Source organism: Homo sapiens, chromosome 14 (genome assembly GCF_000001405.40).
Source record: "Homo sapiens chromosome 14, GRCh38.p14 Primary Assembly".
In the NCBI taxonomy this organism is placed as follows: Eukaryota; Metazoa; Chordata; class Mammalia; order Primates; family Hominidae; genus Homo; species Homo sapiens.
In genome coordinates, this window is record NC_000014.9 from 80,705,138 (window position 1) to 80,726,556 (window position 21,419).

The following is a 21,419-nucleotide window of genomic DNA, read 5'->3' on the forward strand; positions in this document are numbered from 1 at the left end:
ATCAGTATTCCTATTTCCCAAAATTTTTTAAAGTTTGTCTGTTTGGACTGGAATCATGCAATGCAATTTCATGCACTGAATTGCTTGATAGGCCTCTTAAATCCCTTTTAATCTAGATTCTCCCTCTAGCTCCTTTTATTCCACTTGTGTGTGTGTGTGTGTGTTTTGTTTTTTTGTTTTTAGTGGAAAACAGACCTTTGTCATGCAAACTTTTCCAGTCTAAATAGTGACTAAAATGATTCCTATGTATTCATGAAACCCAGAGCTTTGGTCATATACAGGTTCAGTTTTGTGTGTATAGGTGAGAGAGAATTAGTCAGACTAATTCACAAAGAATGTGGTGGCTTTACAAACATGTGAAAATCTTCAACACTTCCTCCATCAAGAGGTTGAAGAAAAGTGGGGCTGGGAATGGGGGATTCTGAGGAGACCAGTCCTTTCCCCTTGAATGTGGGTAGGCTTTTGACTATTTTGTAACCAATAGAATGCAAGGAAGGGATGTTGTGTGACTTCCCAGGCTAGGTTAGAAAAGGCAATGAGATTTTGCACTGTTACCTGGGACACTTGTGCTTGGAGCCTTGGGGCAGCCATCCTGTGAGGAAGTGGTAACTTATAGAGAGCCATATGTGGATTCTCTTGTAGGCAATGCTAGTCTTCTAGTCATCCCTAGATAAATTCCAGATGGGTGAGTCAATAAATTCTCAGACGAATCAATTTTTCAGGTGTAGAGTCAGCCCCAGCCTTCAAATCTTCCAAATTTATAGTAATAAAATGGTTAAGTCCTTAAGTTCTGTGATAATTTTTGGTAACAATAATGACAGGTACAAGGATGTTGTGTTGTACCACAAGCAGGTATATATCATCTACATGCTTCTATTTTTGCATTAGCAGCCACTGATGACCATTAGTAAATTAACAAATAAGGAGTTGCAAAATAATGATATTCCGTTTCTATCATAAATTGTTCACTTACTTATTAGTTGGAACTTCTAGAAGAAACTTTCCCTCATCAACCCTTTGGTTACTATAAGACAAAAAAAAACATATAGAAAAAGCAAGACAAATGATTTTTAATCTTAATCTACCTGTTTTCAAAATAATAAGCTGGTTCCATACCATCTTTCAAGAATGAAGAATGAAATCTTACAAAGAGATCCCTGTACACTTTGCCCAGTTTTCCACAATGGCAATATTTTGCAGATATATTTACAATATCACAATCAGGATATCAACATCGATATGATTCACTAATCTTATTAAGTATTCCTCAGTTTTACTTGTACTCGTGTGTGTGTGTGTGTATGTGTGTGTGTGTGTAAGTTCTATACAGTGTATCACCTGTGAAGCCTAGGCCTCCATGATTTCAGATGAGAAATCTCCTGTCATTCAAATTGCTGTTGCCCTATTAGTAAGCTGTCATTTATCTCTGCTGTCAATATTTTTTCTGTATCTCCAGTATTCAAAAGTTTAATTATGATGTGGGTCTTTTAGGGTTCATTCAGCTTGGGGTTCACTCAGCTTCTATGATCTCTAGTTTTGTGTCTTTTACCAAAGTTGGAGCTTTCAATCATTATGTCCTCAAATATTCTTTCAGCACAACCTTCTCCTCTCCTTCTGTGAATCTGATGATATAAACATTGAGTCTTTTGTTATTGTCCCTGTGGCTCTGTTCTTTTTTCTTCTTTTTCAATTTATTTTCTCCCTATTGTTCAAATGAGGTGAATTCTTTCTTCCAGTTTGTTGATTCTATCTTCTGTTATCTCATTCTACTACTCAACCCATCCGTGATATTTTTCTTTCTGTTGTTGTATTTCTCATTTCCATAACATCCATTTGGTACTTTTGCATAACTTTTATTTCTTTGTTGAGATTATCCATTTGTGACAGAGATTGTTCAGGAATTTTTATGATTCCTTCTTTAAATCTATTTCCAGTACCCGATTTATTTCAATGTTGGTGGCAGATGTTTGTTTTATTTATTCTCATGATTCTTGGTATGGCAAGTGATTTTTAAAATCATATTCTAGACATTGTCTGTTATGTTATGAGACTGTGGGTTCTATTTAAATGTTTTATTTAAGCAGGCAATCACTCTGGTTAGGTTTATCATGTGGGTCTTCACCTACTTTTGTAGGCTATGGTTCTAATGACAGTTAAATTTTCAGAGACCTTGTAGTGTTGTTTTGTTCAGCTTGGTTTATCTGCTGGATATCCCACTGGCCCGTGCTAGAGCTGCCTGAGGAGGGTGAGCCTAGTTTTTGATAGCTTCCTTGGCTTCTGAAATACTAAGACTTTCCAAGTTTACCACGTAAATATTTATACCTGATCAGAACCAACCAATTCTCCAAGGAGTTTTGGGGACTTTTTTCATGGCAAATGGTATTTAAATATCATAATCTTGGTGCTATAGATACACTCATTGATAACTGCACTGGTCTCTGTTTGTGAAGCTGTACATACACATCAAACCCAAAATTTGTTTAAGATAAAATCCAACATGAGGTCATACTGATACAATTCAAATTTACTACTACATGATTTTTACTTAACCTTAGTAATCTATCCATAAATCTCAGTTTTCAATAATACCTATATAATTAATCATTTGATTTATTCCTCAAGACAAACATAATTGTCTAAAATACCACCAATACCACAAGAAAATATGTTTTTTAAAAAATCTAATTTTTTTGCAATCCTTTTTGTCATTAAGGTATAACCCACTAAGGATATATAGCTATCTTGAAATTTCTTCTGTTCAACATTAACTTTGTTTGAAAATTACATAAAATATTTACATTGTTCTAAAGTCAAAAATAGGTATAGTACCCTCATTTCTTAAATAGTAGCATATAAGTCATTTATCTCATATTATGGTATATCCTGTAGATTAATGTGCCATTTGATGTAGAAATATTTGCATTCCTTTTCATTGCTGCATACTACTACATATTCTGGATGTACCATTTTTTTTCTTCACGTCCCCTATGGACATTTGGTTATTTCCAGTATTTGCTATTAAAGATAGTGCCGCATAAGAAGCGTTATTTACTGGAATTTTGTATTGTTTTCACTGTATCTTTTGATATACATTCCTAAAAGGGGAATTGAAGAGTCAAAAAATGCTTATGAAAATTAACTAGATTCTGAGTCACTTTCAGAGGATTGTACCATTTTTGCATTCCTACAAGCAATGTTTGAAAGGGTCTATTTCCTCACAGTCCCCAGCCTCACAGACATTGTCATGCATTTGGATTTTTTAATAAGTTGTTTATATATTAGGGATATGGGAATATCACCTCTTGTCTGTGATAAGACTTGCAAATACTGTTTCCATTTTTTTTCGATTATTTTCCATTTTTTATTTTATTATTATTATACTTTAAGTTTTAGGGTACATGTGCACAATGTGCAGGTTAGTTACATATGTATCCATGTGCCATGCTGGTGTGCTGCACCCATTATTTGTTTTTTATTTTGCTTATGGTGAAAATGTTTTGCCATTTTAAAAAACTGCTATGCAATCAAATTAGTCAATCTTTACTCCCTGATTGCCTCTGAATTTTAGCTAGTAGTCATGTAAATTTAATCTGTAGCCACATTATAAAAGCATTTGCTTCCTATAGTATTTGAATAATTAAAGTTTTTACATTAAACTTCTGGCCCATTTAAAATTATACTGATGAATGGTGTCAGAATAGATCTAATTTTTATATTTTTCCATATAAATATCCAGTTGTTACAGCACATTTATTAAAAGGTATATCCATCTCCACTGATTTCAAATTCTAGCTTCATTGTAAACTAAATTTCCTTCAGTATTTGGGCCTATTTGGGGAGATTTTCTATTCTGTTCTAGTAGTCCTTCTAGTCAATTTTTTTAAAATTGTAAGTTTTAGGCTGGGTGTGGTAGCTCACGCCTGTAATAAAAAAATAAAAATATAAATAAATAAAATAATAAAATAAAACTCTAAGTTTTATATTATTACTATTATTTTTAGGGTTTTTGTTTTTTTTTTGAGACGGAGTTTCGCTCTTGTCATCCAGGCTGACGTGCAATGGCATGACCTCAGCCACTGCAAACTCTGCTTCCCGGGTTCAAGTGATTCTCCTGTCTCAGCCTCCCGAGTAGCTGGGATTACAGGTGCCTGCCACCATGCCCAGCTAATTTTGTATTTTTAGTACAGATGGGGTTTCACTATGTTGGCCAGGCTGGTCTCGAACTCCTGACCTCAGGTGATCCATCTGCCTCAGGCTCCCAAAGTGGTGGGATTACAGGCATGAGCCACTGCACCCAGCCAGTTTTAAATTATGTTTTAATATCTGGTAGCATTAACCTTTTCACTTCTCTTCTTTTTCAGCATTTTGCTGGATATTCTTGCCTTTTCATTCTTCCAAATGAATTTTATAATCAACTTTTCAAGATACATTTAATACAAAAAAATCTGACTGTATGTGCATTAAGACTGCTTTACATATAAAAAATAACTTAGAAATAAATGATATTTTATGATGTTTGAGTCTTCCTATTCAAGGAACTAATATGCCTTTCATTTCTTCCAGTATACTTCTATATCTTTCACATGTGTATTTCAGTTTTCCTCATATGGGTTTTGACATTTCTTGTTAAGGCTAATTACACCTAGGTAGTTTATTTTCTTTATCAATAAATGAATGGGGTCTTCTTTTGCATATTATCAGTAGGTTTTTTTCTGATTGGTTCAGTTTTCATTATTAACAATTTTGATAGTTTGCTTATGAAATGGCAAATGAGTAAATTATTGTATCACTATAACAAATCTAAAAACTAGGAGAAAAATTAAGAATAAGAGAGTAGCCAAAAAAGGAATTGTCTTAAAAAAAAAAAGCCAGCACAACAATTTGTTTTGTACCCTGTTTTTGTACCCTGGACCTTTTGAGGATATGAGGATATGAGGATACAAACAGATATTCTATACCTACAACTATTTGCAAAATACTGCTATTTGTTAAGAACATGTATTAACAATCTAATAATGAAATCATGCCATAAATTGGTGCAAACATAATTCCCATTACCAAAGGGTTTAGAACAGAGGCCAGTTATCTGTTGTTCACATCTCCCTCACTAGATATATGTTACTAGATAAGAGATCTTATTGACTGTTTTCTCATGAGAAATATCACAATTACAGTATGATATATTGAGTATAGGAGAGAAGAAAAGTTAAGAAATTCAGATTTAACTCTTGAAAAAGAAACAAAATATATTTATTTGCATCTACTTTGGTGTCAACTGAATTCATACACGTCTCACCACCTATGAAAATAATTAAAATATATTGTGAAAACATAAGAGTAACTTATCAAATTCATAAAACATAATTTCTTAAATTCTTCCACAAGTTACTCTGGATATTTATAAGTATTAAAGAAATAGATTTACTTTATTTAAATACTTTCATTAAGTACTATACAACTGAATATAAAGCAAGTGACTTATAATTTAAAGTTCTCCTAAAACATGACAATCAAATTAACCCCTTTTTGTTTGATCCTACATCAACCTGTCCAAATGGTCTACTAACTGGTCAGGAATTTTATAGTATGTGCATTCTATTGACTTTAATTGGATATTTTCTTGAACAGAATAAAAAAATCAAACGTGATTTTGAATAACAAGAACTGACAATGCACAAACTCCAGCAAAACATTAACCCAAAACAATTTCAAGACCATAATATGATTTTGGAAATAAACCATCTGATATTCAAATTGTCCAATAGTTTCCTCTAAAGTGATACAAAAAATTATCGTCTGAAATCATTAACTTGCACACTCTGGAACATTAAAGTAAATCTTGATAACTTATCAAATACAATGAACATCCATCCTCTTAAGAGAAACAGTATAGCAGCTAAAAACAAAGCAGCTTTTTGGCTTATATGAGAAGCTATCTAATTTTGTTTGTTTTTCTGTTCTCAAGAAATGGTTTTCATTGTTTCTATAGATCGAGTTAAATGTTGGACTGAGGCAATATAACACAATGAATTCACTTAGGAGACCTTTCCAGTAACTACTCTAAAATAATCCTGTATTACTTGCCCTTTTTCTTCCCAATGAAGAAAAAAACCACTCCCTTTAGAATATGGTCTAAAGACTGACATATAAGACTATGTTGTGTGTGTGTGTGTGTGTGTGTGTGTGTGTGTGTGTGTCTATATGTCTGTGTGTGTGTGTAACCACACTAATATGATACTTACATAGCATGAATTAACATCATAATAACAATCACTTCCCTTTCAAACATACATAAGAAAGAGGCTAGCTTATAAGAGATAATATATGTAAAATTACAGTTGTAACATCTTATTACTTGCAGTAGTAAATAGCAGTGAGAACTCATGTAGATAGAGAGCACAAGGCTGGTTACCAGAGGCTGGAAAGAGCAGTGTGGGGGTTGCAGGGAAAGTGGGAATAGCTAATAGGTACAAAAATATATATTTAGAAAGAATAAGACCTAGTATTTAATAGCACAACAGGGTGACTATAATCAATAATTTAAGTATACATTTAAAAATAACTAAAAGATTATAATTGAATTATCTATAACACAAAGGATAAATGCTTGAAGAAATGGATACCCCATTTACCATAATGCGATTATTGTTTATTATATGCTTGTATCAAAGTATCTCATGTACCCCATAAATATATACACCTACTATGTACCTAAAAATTTTTTTAAATTAAAAAGAATGTAAAAAATAAAAAATTCGAGTGAAAATAATTTCAATGGTGTTTATTGAACTATTTGCATGCCAATTCACTCTTCATTATCTTTTTCTGCTACAAACATAAGTATACGAACTTAATTTGTTCCTTGTAATCTAATTTCAATGACTACATGTGGCTATCCTAGGGAATTAGTACTTAATATCATAATTTAATAATTATCTTTAGAAATAAATTTTTAATTTGAAATTTTAAGAAATTAATATGAGGGTAGGAAGATTTGACAATATGAACACTAATGTTCGGATCTGCCTGTAACACAATAAGGAGTTTGAGATGGTAAACTGTAAGAAAAAGGAATACATTCATTCTCTAAAGAGTTCTGTACTGGAGCTTCTTAATCATTTCAATTTGTGCACTCTCAAACAACAGTATTACATCCAGGCAGGCTGTCCTTACTATTGTCAGGGTACAACTGACAACCTGTGGCCTTCTCATCTCACCCCAGGCTCCATCCAGCACCCTATGTGGCTCAAGCATTGAGTCCAGAAACACTGTACACATCCAACCCCTATTACTCCCTCAGAAAACTACACTTCAGCTACCACTTGGGCCCAGAGAGGTGTTCACACTGTCCCTGGAAGGACTTGACCTATGGAAGGGCCACAGATATTTCCTGCACATGGGCTCTGGCAGCTAGGTTGGGGTATTCTGGGGTCCTGAGTACCCAGAGCATGGTTTAGAAAAGAGAGACTGTGGCTATCAGTTGGTAGCCATGTATCCGTAGACCCAGCTATTTATTCCATTTGTAGAAGGGTTCTCTGAAGTGGGAGATCCAAGGCAAGCACTCTGGCAGCCTCATCAAAGGCAGCTGGAGATGACAGTAGTCATCTCAAAGTTCTGCCAATAAGCCTATCTCTTTCAGAAACACATCAGCTATTTTACTGTTAATATGGTGAAACGAGAAATAACCAAGTCGGTAGCTGTGGATGCACTTTTCCTGAGGCTTGCATTTCCCCATTATATCCAGCTTAGGCTGGACCAGAAGCCTCTTCCAAATGCCATAAGCCAACTAACTCTAATCTGTAAAATACTAGGTTGAATCAACCCATCCTTAGATAATACCCTGACTGATCTGGAAAAGAAAAACCAAAAGTTGAATCTAATCATATCATAGACAATCAAGATAGACACAAGCAGACTACCAAGTTGAATAGCTCCTTGTTACCAATAACAATAAAATAGTTATCAAGAAGGGCACTTTACGTGGGAGGGATTGCAGGTAAAAAGCAGCCTCCCCATTGCTCCTAGCATTATCCTACAAATAAAATGAAACACCACACTTACTCACTGGAAAACATCTGGTAGTTAATATAAAAGACTCTTTATAATCTAATACCAGACCACATTTTCCGCGGTGATCTTTTCTCATTCTTCCTCTCCTGCTTCTAATTTGTTGAAATATACTACGACTTCTGTCTTTGGAAACAATGTTTTATTCTTGCCTCCCTGAATTTCTTCCTATCTCCTGGTCAAGCATGGCCTTTTCAAAGCTCTATGACTTTGTGTGTAGGCTGTTTGTTTGTCTACTTCTTCACCTGGCAAACTCCTATTTAACCCTCAGAGTCCAACTTAAATACTATCTCTTAGTTCCCTGACCCATCCAAGCAGAGATGGTGCCTCCATTATCTGTATATATAGCAATTCATTAATATATACAGCAACACATACAAAGCTGTATTAAAGTAAGTATCTACACTAGTGGACTGTAGCATATTCTAAGAGAGGGACAAGGTCTTATTGTTCTTTAATCTCCCCTGTTTTGCACATAGTAGATTGATTGTTGTGTATCCACTTAAAGCATAACTTTTTAAAAAATAGAATAACTTCCATTCAGCATTACTTACGTGTACTGAGTAAAAGAGAAGGTTGGAAACAAAGATAGTGATTTTGTTTTTAATTTTATATAAATTGTATTTATCATTCTGCAACTAGCCTATTTGCACAAAGAATCAAGAGTCAGCAGCATGAAAAATCTTGGTTATTAGAAACTATGTAAAAGCAACTGGAGCCTAGCCATCCAATGCTGCAGTTTCCTATTTTATTTTTCAGTATCTAGTGTTTCTCTCTCTCACTCTGCTGAGTAGTGAAAAGTTAGGATAATCCAATTCTTTAAATATTATTGATGCACAGGGGATCCAATTTTAATATTTGGAGAAGATAAATCTACTTGGAAGAATATACTGAATATTGTATTCTTTTCCACTATAGCAGAAGTGAGCAGTTATCAAAATGTAAATTTCAGACATCTAATTGTATGATATTCCACTCACTAAACAAGGCCATGTTTTCATTAAAGCTTGGATTAAAATTCCAGTTGTGCATACACTTGGAATTTTAAAATTTCCTCATGAGTCCATATAGGTTGCATCACCCATTCAAGGCAAAACACACACACATACACACACACACATACACACACACTTAAGGCTACTTTTCTCATTTAGGGTATAAACACCACCATTCTGAGCTGGGAAAGGCAGAAGAAAAGTAACAGAAGGGAGGCTGTGGCTAAAAGGCCATTATGTACATAGAGCAGAAAGGTGTGTTTTTGTGTATATGTGAATATACACATGAGTGCATGTATGTGTTTGTCCAACTAATGAAAAGAAGGCATGACTGACACTGCAAAATTTCTCACTGCCAACCAAAAATCACCTAATATCAGACAAGAACGGATCTAGAAAATTACCCGAGCTCTCTAACAGGCAAACCTCAAACTTCCCACATTGTCTCCACACTAACGGCAGCTATATCATTTCAAAGCCCCCATGAAACCAACAACCAAGAACTACTCTCCCCATCCATCATACTCTCTGCCCACATCCCATACCCGACAATAATAAAACCACATCCTAAAAGCAGCAGATCAAGACTTAAAAAAAAAAGAAAAAATTTAAGAATAACAGTATTGTCCAATCACTCAAATATCATCTTATCAAAAAAGCAATTTCCACCCTAAACCAACTGAAAGGCACCACAACACTTAGAAAGACATCAATCACATGGAATTATTTTATTTTTATAAAAGTAATTATAGGCCAGGCATGTCTGTAATCCCAGCACTTTGGGAGGCCGTGGTGGGCGGATCACTTGAGCCCAGCAGTCTGGGACCAGCCTGGGCAACATGGTGAAACTCCACATCTGCAAAAAATACAAAAATTAGCTGGGAGTGGTGGTGTGCACCCATGGTCCAAGCTACTCGGAAGGCTGAGATGGGAGGATCACCTGAGCCTGTCAGGTCAAGGCTGCAGTGAGCTGTGACCATACCACTTCCCTTGAGCCTGGGTGACAGAACAAGATCCTGCCTCAGAAAAAAAAAAGGAATTATAATAAAATCTGAAAAACATGAAATTGTGTTTACAATGAATCTTTAGTCAAGACATGCAAATAGTCTTCCTACTCTGAAAATAGACCTCAACCATAATTTGAAAAATATATAAAATCCTATTCTCCCACAAGTCAGTCAGGTAGTAAACAAGTGTTTTCTCGAGCTCCTGCTATTTGCTAGGCATTGTTCTATTAGGCCGTGGGTGAACGCATATGCAATTAAAATTTTTAAGATAATTTCAAACACTACTAAATGTAATGAAGAAGTATGAAAATGTGAGAGCAAGTTCAAGTTATTGAAGAAGGCCTCCTTGTGGAGGTGACACGGAAGCCAAGAAAGATGAGAAGGAAAAAAAGCATTTCAAACAGAAGGAGCAAGTGCAAAAGACCCAAGGCAAAAAATGAGCCTTATTGAACGGAAATTAGTAAAAAGGAGGGAAAAGGAGTAAAAGTCATTAGAGATCTTCAAGCAAAAGTGTGCCTTGATCTGCTTTATGTAACAGCCACTTACATGTTAAGTGATCTTGGATGAATTACTAATCTCACTGTACCTGAGTTTCTTCATCTATAAAATGGGGATAGTAATAGCACCTACCTCAAAGAGTTGTGGTAAGGACTGAGTAAGTTAGCATGTTATAGCGCTTAGAACAATGCTTGGCAAAAGAAATTGTGAAATGAGTGTTAACCACTTTTTCATTAGCATTAATATCTTCTGTATCATCATCAGTAAAAAATAATCACTTGCTGGCAGATGAAATAAATAACTGGATGAATGTAAGAGTGGAGACAGAGAGACCAGCAGCTACCAGGCCACTGCATTAATGTCTGGGCAAATGATGATTTTAAACCAAGATTACAGAATGGGACAGATTCAAAATATATTTTATTAAGTTGATAGGATTATTCAATGAATTAAATATGCAAAGTGAACCAAATAAATTAAATGAGACTCCTAGTTTTTAACAACTTAATTGAGATAAAATTCACACACCATATAATTTATCCATTTAAAGTGTACAACCTGATGGCTTTTGGTATATTCACAGAGGTGTACAACCATCACCACAATCAATTTTAAAACATGTTGTTACCCCAAAAAGAAATCCCATATCACCCATCACGTTGACTCTCGTAGTCATGCAGTTATTTATTTCATCTACCAGCCAGAATCACTATTTCTTAATGATGATATAGATAGTACAACCACCAGTATCTAAAGATTTAACTGTTCAGGACATTTCATATAAACAGAACCACATAATATGTGTTCCCTTATGATTGACTTTTCATATGCATGAAGTTTTCAAGGTGCATCCATGTAGTAAAATTTATTAATACTGCATTTCTTAGTGCTAAATAATAGTCCACTGTATGACTATACCATATTTTATTTATCCATTCGTCAGCTGATGGACATTCGGGTTGTTTATCCTTAAGGCTGTTGTAAACATTTGGCTGCTATGTACATGCGTGTACGGGTTTTTGCTTGACAAATGTTTTCATTTCTCTTGGGCATATTTCTAGGTTATATGTAACTCTATGTTAAACTTTTTAAGTAACTGACAGACTGTTTTCCAAAGTGGCTGCACCATTTCATATTCTCACCAGAAGTGTATACAGGTTCCAATTTCTCTATATCTTCGCCAGCAGTTGTTACTATCTTTTTTATTATAGCTGTCCTGGTGAGTATAAAGTAGTATCTCTTTGAGGCTTTGCTTTCCATTTCGCTGATGGCTAATGTGTTCATTTTCATGTGCTCATTAGCCATTTTACATCTACTATGGAGAACTGTCTATTCAGACCTTTATCCATTTTTTAATTGGGTTGTTTGTCATTTCATTATTGAGTTACAGGGGCAAAGCAAAGCACCTTAGGCAAAGGCAAGGTTAATTTAGAAAGAAATAATTGTCCAATCTAATAGGTATGGTAGTGCACACAAGTTGTTAGCTCTTAAAGGCAGAGACTCTGCTATAATTTACTTTAAATAATATAGTTGTCCCTTTCACGGCACCTAGCAGAATTGAAATCAAATATTTTAAAGAACATATGAAAATACTGGAATACTCCCAAAAAAAGAAGTTCTTCAGTTCTAATAGAAGGCTATAACATTTAAAACTAATTTCCTGTAGAGATTAACAAATGAATTTCACTTCATGGGTCAATTCAAATCAGCTGGCAGAGACTACCTAGAACAGTGTTTTCAGAGTGATAATGAAGCTGTAGCTGACTTAGAACAAATTAAATATAATAACATCTTCCATGAGCATCAGAAGGGGTAAATGGGGGCATTTGTGATAGAGCACCATCCCAAAGAAGGTTTATATATTTTGAAAATATAAAAGCAATTAAAGAAGATTGTTAAGGTGCAAAGGTTAAAAAAAAACTTGAGATATTTAGAGTACACACTTAATATCAGAAAATGATCAAATAAAATGCAAAGACTGTGCTTCTACCAAAATATTTACTTGGTGCCACTTTCAGAATCAGAATATTAGATCAAATAGATCATTGATCTAACTCAGTATGTCATTTCACACATACCCAGAGCCTCTATCTACTAATCCTATTTTTCTTTTTTTTGCTTTTGTTTTGAGACAAGGTCTCACTTTATTGCCCAGGCTGGAGTGCAGTGGCACAATCATGGCTCACTGCAGCCTCGACCTCTCAGGCTCAATGGATTCTCCCACTTCAGCTTCCCTAGTAGCTCTGACTATAGGCATGCACCATCACACTCAGCTAACTTGTGTGTGTGTATGTGTATGTGTATGTGTATGTGTGTGTATATATGTTTTGTTTGTTTGTTTTCGGTTTTTTGAAGAGATGAAGTTTTTCCATGTTGCCAAGGCTGGTGATCCTCATTTTCATATAACTCAACAAAGACAAAATGGTGAGACTTACTTTTTCATGTAGTTGAAGGTGTGAATGACATGAGGTGTGAATAATATCACCAACAAGTCTTACACGATTCAGTAGTAATGAAAGTCTGTATAAATTATCAATGTCAATTCATTAACTCTAATATAGAGATGATTTCACATTATAGGTATATACATCACATTTCATCTTTTCAGCAAAAGTAAAGTTGCATAACATTTGCTTCTAAATACTACTTTCAAAGTGGTGACTCAGAGAAAAATTTAAACAACTAGTTTTAATGACAGACCTCAAATATATATGGCATAAAAAGACAACAGTTTTAGTAATTAAATCATACAGTCTACAAGTTTACAACCATTTTGTATTATACACATATCACATATAGATATTTTACCTCTCTAGGTTTTCAGAAACCGAAAGGACAGTGAGAATTTGGAACACAGAATACACAGTAGCTGCAGGAGTGGAGCCACCATTTCCAAACTACACAAACTTAGTTTCACGTGATCTTGTAGTGATACTGAGTATTTTTTAATTTATCACAGGAAAACAAAAGGATTCTGACAGTCTCTTCTGTGAGAACATTAATCTGTCAGGACTCTGTGAGGAGAGACAGCAAAGTCCAACAGTTTAAACCAAAACAAGAGGGCATGAAAAGCTGTATCTGATCAAGAAGGGCACTGGCATAAAGCAGGCTAAATAGGTACATGGGCTTAACACCAGCGAACCTCTCATTTGCTTCACGTCTTTGTTTTTTTCTGAGTGTTGGCTTAGTTCTCTGCTATCACTGACAGTTTTCTCTTCTTCACATGAAATATGGTTTCTGACAGAAAAGTTTTATAACCTTTTGATGAAGGAGATGGGCAGGACTTGTTTTCTGGACTTGTTACTCTGTCAGGATTTGGTAAAGTGAGGCCATCAGCAGGAACCGGCAGATGGCAATGAAAGTGATTCCTAGGTGCCCTCATTGCTCATTGGCATAAGACACTCCCACCAGTGCAATGACAGTTTACAAATGCCATAGCAATGACCCAGAAGCTACCACCCCATTCCATGGCAACAATGCAGAAGTTACTGCCCCTTTCCTTGGAAGTTCTAAATAACCTGCCCCTTAATTTGCATGTAATTGAAAGTGCCTTTAAATGAGTATAAATACAGTTGTCAAGAGCCCATTCTTTGGACTCATGGTGCAATGCCTATAACTTAGCCCTGTACCCCAAGCAGTACCATTTAATAAAAGACTGCTAACACCTCCAGCTCAGCTAGTCCTAGAATTATTTCCCAGGGTATGCTAAGAACTCTTTGGGCTAAGCCCCAATTTTAGGGCTCACCTTTCCTGTATCAGTTTCAGTGCCATGACCAAAGCTTTAAAAAGATTATCTTTCCTATTTTGAGTTTGAAATTTTTTATCAAGGAGGGACAAGGAAAGGCCCAGACTAGATCACATCTCTTAAACAATCCCTGTGGTAAAATGAGTACTGGGCCAGATGAAGCCTGATTATAGCTATCCATGTGGGTAAGGAAACAGAATTCATTAGAAGAAAGAGGGGACATAGGACTAAAAAGTCACCCCAATGAGTTTTTATTACAATTTGCCAATATTAGAATATGAAACAGAGAAGTGAGAAAATGAAGCCAGGAAGAACAATTTGGAATGAAATCATGGCAATCCAGGAACTAAAAGACAAGTATTTGTTTTCAACACATAGTAACTGTGCACCACCGCAGCAAGGATAACAGATATGGTCCCTGGCCTTAGAGAATTTAGAGTCTAATGGGAAAGATGGAAAATACATAAATAAATCCATGAGCATATATATGCAAATAAAATTATAGTGCTGTGAAGTAAATTAATAGGTTGCAAAGATAGAAACACAGAAAAGGACCTACTTAGATTGGGTAATGGAGCAAGATCCCTCCGAGGAGGTGACATTTCAACTGAGACCTAAAGGAGGAGGCCAAAGCTATGTGCATAGGGAGGTGGGGGCTACAGGGTAAACGAGATGGGGGCAAAAAAACTACTGTGACACCTGTGAGGCAGAAATCGCCTCAGCATATAAGAGAAACAAAAATAAGGCCAGCATAAAATGTGTCAGAACATAATGCTCAAGTTGAAGGGGGAGAATGGGTGAAGCTGGAGAATGGGCAGAAGGGATATTGCTAATCATGGTAAAAAACTGGGATGTTTCCCTAAGTGCACGGTCCATTGAAAGGTTGAAGGACAGTAGTTGAGTGTCACAAAATGAATACTGCAAGCTGCTGAGAGGTGAATGACAGGAAAGGGCCATGATTAAATGTGGATAAGGAGATATTGTGTCATTCCCTGCATTCCCAGCCAAGCCACATTCTACAAAGAAATCTCTTCATTGTCTATGGATCCAAGGCTTGTTACTTTAACTCTGTAAGTATCAGCTTCCCCCTTAATAAAGCAGGAATAAAAATATCCACATCAAATGGAAGATTGTCCGAGAAATTATGTAACGTAAGTCTTGGTATATGGTAGGTACTCAGAAAATATTAGGTCTCTTCTCATTTACTTCCTGTGTAGCTAATAAAAGTTCTTCCAAATTCATCAGCAGGTGCTAAGTTTTGAAAAATAAAAAACTAGACCTAGACAACTTGGTCTAGGTAGCGGAAACGAAGTATCTAAGCAATGCAGACAAACTAGTCTGAATGGAAAATAACCTTGACTTGATCAGAATATTTACTAGCCTCTATATTCTAAACCAAAAATCTGAACTACGAATTTAAGAATAAACTCTAAATTCAACAACCATCCAAATTCTCTACCACAATCTATACAACACAGAGAAAACCTAAGTATGAAGGTAAATAAATATCCTTGAGTTGTTCATCTTTCTGATTTGCTCGTTATCTTTATCTGTTACCCAGGTGCATAATCGTGTTATTCCCTACCTTTTTAAAAAGTTACGTAGAAAATTTAAGAATTCAAAGAATCTATGAAAATAATTTCTATACATCTTTAATTTCCCTTCTTACATATTGGTATTATGGCTATAAATTGTCTATATTGTAAGATCCCTTAAATAATTTTTACATATAAAAGATTTTTTCATAAATAGGATTAATATTAGAGAATATGAGCTTCAGGTTACATTCATCATCTTGGACTTCCCAAAGAGAACTCGACAACCCTGGCAATCATACTACAGATGATTCTCTTATAAAAAGAATAAGACCAAAAAATGGCCAGTATAAATGATCCTCTAGGGCTATTCTGTTCAATATGTTAGCCATGAGCCACATATGACTATTAAACATTTGAAATGTGGCTGGTTGGAATTCAGGTGTGCTCTAAGGGTAAAATACATGCCGGATTTTGGCATCTCAGTTGAAAAACAAAATGTAAAATATGTCAATAATTTTTCTTATTGATTATATGTTGAAGTGATCATATTTAGGATATAATGGGTTACATAAATACATGTTTAAAATTAATTTCACTTTCTTTTTACCTTTTTAATATTTTATTATCAGAAAATTTAAAACTATACATGTAGCTCATGTTTGTCTTGTTATGTTTCTTTTATACAGCACAGCTCCATAATGATGTACATTTTAAATTAAATCAACTCTGCATAAATCTGTTATCGAACAAGTCAGGATATAAATAAATAAACAGGTGAATTCGTGAATAAGTGGATAAAGTTCATGATATGATATCTCTGGTTAAATGATTTCAAAACGTTGCTTAATAATTGTTTGAGCAAAGTGATAAGCATAAATAATTAGGCAAGTGTTTAAGTTAGTATTACATTTTGTCTGATGAATAAACATGAATTAAATTAAATGATTATGGGTCACATACTGTGCTAGTCATGGAACACATATATTTAAGACAAGGCTACTGCTGTCATGTGGTTTATAGTTTTACGGAAGGATATAAACAATAAAACAAATAAATGCATTAAAATGTTTTTGGTGCTGTGAGAAAGGCATTTAGTAGTTCTCTAAAAGAAATGTAAGAGGGCATTTTTCTTGTTTCAGAGCATGGACACTAATATCCATTTTATCCTTTGGAGCCGAAGATAGCCAAATGTCCTTCAGTGTGTGGGGGTGGCCTGAACCATCAAGGATGTTCAGTTCAAATTATTCATAGTGTCACTACTGAGAAACACCCAGCGTCATGCCATGCTATGAACAGGATCACCACTGTAGAACACAACACAAATATCATAAGTATTTTCTGATGCTGGTTCCTGAACACTGTGGTGACTCCAGAGACTGGCTAAATATTGTGAGACCCCATTCTAAAAATGCAATCAACATAAGATTACACAAAATCATCTCTGTTCTTTGGTGTGTAAAATCCATACACATATACACTAACATATGTATATGTGATATATGTATACATATTTATATATTACAGACGCACACATATAAGTATATATAATATATATATAAATGTAACATGTATCATTAATATATTTTGCCGTTTTCAAGCTGAGAAAAGAAAAAATGTTTATTGAAGCATTTAACAGCTATAAAACAGAATGTTCATATATAAGCTTCTCTTTAAACTTTTTCCTTTACAAATAATTTTGTCACTAAAACAGGAATACCAATTTTGCCATTCTCATCTGATACCCAACTGACAATTAAGCAAACAGAGATGAAGAAGACAAGGAGGAGGAGGAGGACAGCATTCTGTCATCTGGTAGCAGAGGTTACTCTTTATCTTTTTTTTTTTTTTTTTTTTTTGAGACGGGAGTCTTGCTCTGTCGCCCAGGCTGGAGTGCAATGGCGCGATCTCGGCTCACTGCAAGCTCCGCCTCCTGGGTTCACGCCATTCTCCTGCCTCAGCCTCCCAAGTAGCTGGGACTACAGGCACCCGCCACCACACCTGGCTAATTTTTTGTATTTTTAGTAGAGACGGGGATTCACCGTGTTAGCCAGGATGGTCTTAATCTCCTGACCTTGTGATCCGCCCGCCTCGGCCTCCCAAAGTGCTGGTATTACAGCCATGAGCCACCGCACCCGGCCCTCTTTATCTTTTAAACATTACTAAGAGAATTGCCAATCTAGAATGGTAGAGTGAGCAAAAGACAGTCCCCATGTAATATAAAAATGCCAGAATCCTTAAAGGTGAAATGAGTCAAACTACTACCAATAGACATTAAGGTAATCACTATTTGATAACAACAACTTTTAAATATGTATGAAACCTATAAACGTGTCATACTTCACTGTCAAACCTGCTCATCGCTTCCACCCAAATCAAAGAAAGATCCTTTAAAGAACTCACATTCTAGAATCGTATTCAGGCTGGAGACAACAGAAATGTTTTAATCAATGCATAAATCTAGGGTAGTGAAGTTATTTGCCTCAAAAATAACAGTGTAGTACCCTTTTCAAAATGTCTTACTACATAAACTTAATTGGCTCTATAAGAAGTGAAAACTTTGAACCATAAATTATAGAGGGAAATCTAGCATAATGGTAGAACAGTGTCCAAAAAGTGATACCCTTTTTGCATTAAAATATTCAGGGCTAATTATGATTTTAGCACTTGTTTTTATCCTTGCTTTGTTCATTGGCCAAACTTAAACACTTCTCATCTCCTTCAATGAAAAGTGGTGCTATTATGTTCCTGGAAGCATGAGCAGGGTTCCTCAAAGCCTAATTTTAAGGTCTTAATTGGCTGAGGCAATGGGAGACCATACAAAGCCCACTTCACAGAGAAGGGCAAGATTGCCAGGTCACTTGAGAACAGATGAAGAGCTAACTGGAAGCTATTGCTGAAACCTTACACAGTGTCCTGGGAAGTTTTAGCAAATAGTAACTTACGCAGAACAGAACACAATCATCCATCATCATAAAACAGAACCCAGAGGGGTTGAAGTTAGCTTGTAGAAACAGAACAGTTAAAAGATTAAAACTGTTATCCTCATTTAATAATTGAGTACCATAACAAACCAGACAAGCCTTATGGAGATTGGGTACTGTTATTGGTTCTGTGGTATGCTATTGCTTTCAAATATTTGGCTTCCTCCTGACCCTTAAGTCTCAGGAACCATGTGCTCACAATTAAAGAGGGTTGCTATTTACTAACACTTTTGTTCATTTGGTATTACTGGATCCAAAGTCTACTTTAAAATTTGGAATGCTGAAGAATAATTCATTCATCCATCTGTTTATCCACCCAACATTTGTGGTGTGTTATGGAATAAAAGACACTTAAGACGTTGAATAAAATCATCTCAGCCCTCAATTAGTTCAATACTTAATAATATAATAATAATTAATAATTTATCCAAATAGATACATTATAAGAACAGCCAATCTGGAATTGTTTTAAGTAAGTTACTTCCTTTTTCATTACTCCTAATTACTGGTGACAGGTTCCCAAAACAAACGAAACAGAGAAGACCAAATTTTATTTGTGAAATTCAAGACTCTATAGAAAAAGAAAAGGTAAAAATCTGGAATTAACCTCTGAAAAGCTTTTAGATTATTCTATGTTTACCTTAACGATAAAGACACATACTAGAAAAAGATATCCAATAATAATTTACACATTTGGGGTTGACAGTAGGACTTGCTACTGATTTCTATACACTGTCTAGCGTTCAACTGAAACTCAGACACTCTTCTTGAAATTTCAATAAGATGTTTATAAATGTGTTTTACCTTGCTGTTACAAAAATATATCAGAGGCTTAATGTTTTTTTCTTTTTCAGGATAGTTCCTATGCTACTTCTGACTGTATACTCTAGCCTCCTTGCCTTGTTGTTTGCTCCTTTGTTCATTCACTCTTACTTAACTAAACAACTATTTATTGGGCACCTACTATATATATATATCATACATTTATATATAATATATATCATACATATATATCATATATACATATATCATATATATATATACATATATGATATATATATATATATATGTCAGTGTTTGAAAAGAACAAGGAAAACCTCCATCTGCCCCTATTATACACCATGGGTGTCTTATTTCTCAGTTTTTTCCCTCTATTGGCAACTGGAATTCAATTCTCGAGTTTAGGTTTACTCTTTGTCATTCTTGTTTTCCCAATTTTTTTTTTTTTTTTGATACAGAGTTTCACTATTGTCACCCAGGCTGTAGTGCAGTGGCACAATCTCGGCTCACTGCAACCTTCACCTCCCAGGTTGAAGTGATTCTCGTGCCTCAGCCTCCCAAGTAGCTGGGATTACAAGTGCCCACCATGACGCCCGGCTAATTTTTGTAGTTTTAGTAGAGACGGGGTTTTACCATGTTGGCCAGGCCGGTCTCGAACTCCTGACCTCAAGTGATCTGCCCGCCTCAGCCTCCCACAGTGCTGGGATTACAGAGGTGAGGCACTGCGCCCAGCCCCCAGTGCTTTTTCCTGCAGATAATTTACTCCACCTTTACCTCTATTAACTATTCCAGAACACAAGTTCCCTCTATTTCACATTATCCCCAACAAGAATGACCCATAACTGATGAAAATTTAATATCCAAGCAGGAAAAGTTTTCTGACTCCAAGAATTATAATATGCTAGAATTCTGGTACAAGAGGAAGTTCATGCTAATTAGAGAAGATTGTAATTCACAAAGTTAAAATCCTGAAAGAAAAATCTCCCTCCGGAAGAAGTATGCAGTAGAAAAGATCTCAAACTCTTAAATAACATTAACTCTAATTAATTAATTTATATGGAATAATCAGGCTTTGGTATTTTTCAGCTATATTGGTAGATCTTTCAGAAATCACAAATTGAACAAATGTGATCTGAAAATGCTTTTGTTTCCCAAAACCACAACTTCCCCAGTAAATGCTCTAACCATTCAATTACATTCCTTTACCTTGAATAAGGAACAAGTAGTATAAGGTACTATCTATAAAAACAAATAAGTAACTTCTATAAGATCCTTTTTGTAGGCAACCAGAATATGTCTCACCCTTTCCTTCCCAATACCCAAATCCCCCAAAACAGAGGTACTTGTTACCTTCTCTTGTGGTTTAGAAACCAACAGACATCTCCTATGTCTGATGACCATGACAGCCATGATGTGTCTGATTTAGCCAAGGCTTCAGGAGCTTATAACCTTGTATTAATAGGGAAAATTCCTAACAACAAAAAGCACAAAGAAAATCTTTTCTTGATGACTGATCCCGTAACCTGTAATTTATATTCCCTCAGAGTATTTATAGGATTTCATAGTCATGAAAGACAGAAGGCAAGATCCCTTAAGTGGTTGCTTCTTTGAAAGCACCAAACCTACATAAGAAAAGAACTGTAGAACCAACTAGAGCTACTCCATCAACAACCCCTCCCTTTTGAAAAACATGCACCCACATATATACACTCCTTTTCATAGCTTTATATGTAAATTTTTGTGTAAATTGTCTTTTATCTGAATTAACATTTTAAATTCCCTAAAAGCAGAGAGTGTCCTCTTTCATA

At 35.2% G+C, this 21,419-nt stretch overlaps 1 protein-coding gene across 16 annotated transcripts in view; it reads right to left on the reverse strand.

Annotated features, from left to right (window-relative positions):
- Positions 1 to 21,419, reverse strand: part of CEP128 (centrosomal protein 128) — a 482,534-nt gene that overhangs the window by 228,169 nt on the left and 232,946 nt on the right. Inside the window, exon 20 of one of the 16 annotated variants that reach the window (XM_011536495.3) lies at positions 1,673 to 21,082. The exons of the other annotated variants lie outside the window; for them this stretch is intronic. Coding sequence (XP_011534797.1) covers positions 21,054 to 21,082 — 29 coding nt within the window. The 3' untranslated portion in view covers positions 1,673 to 21,053. Of the gene's footprint in view, positions 1 to 1,672; positions 21,083 to 21,419 lie in introns of those variants that run through there. 16 annotated transcript variants of the gene reach the window in all.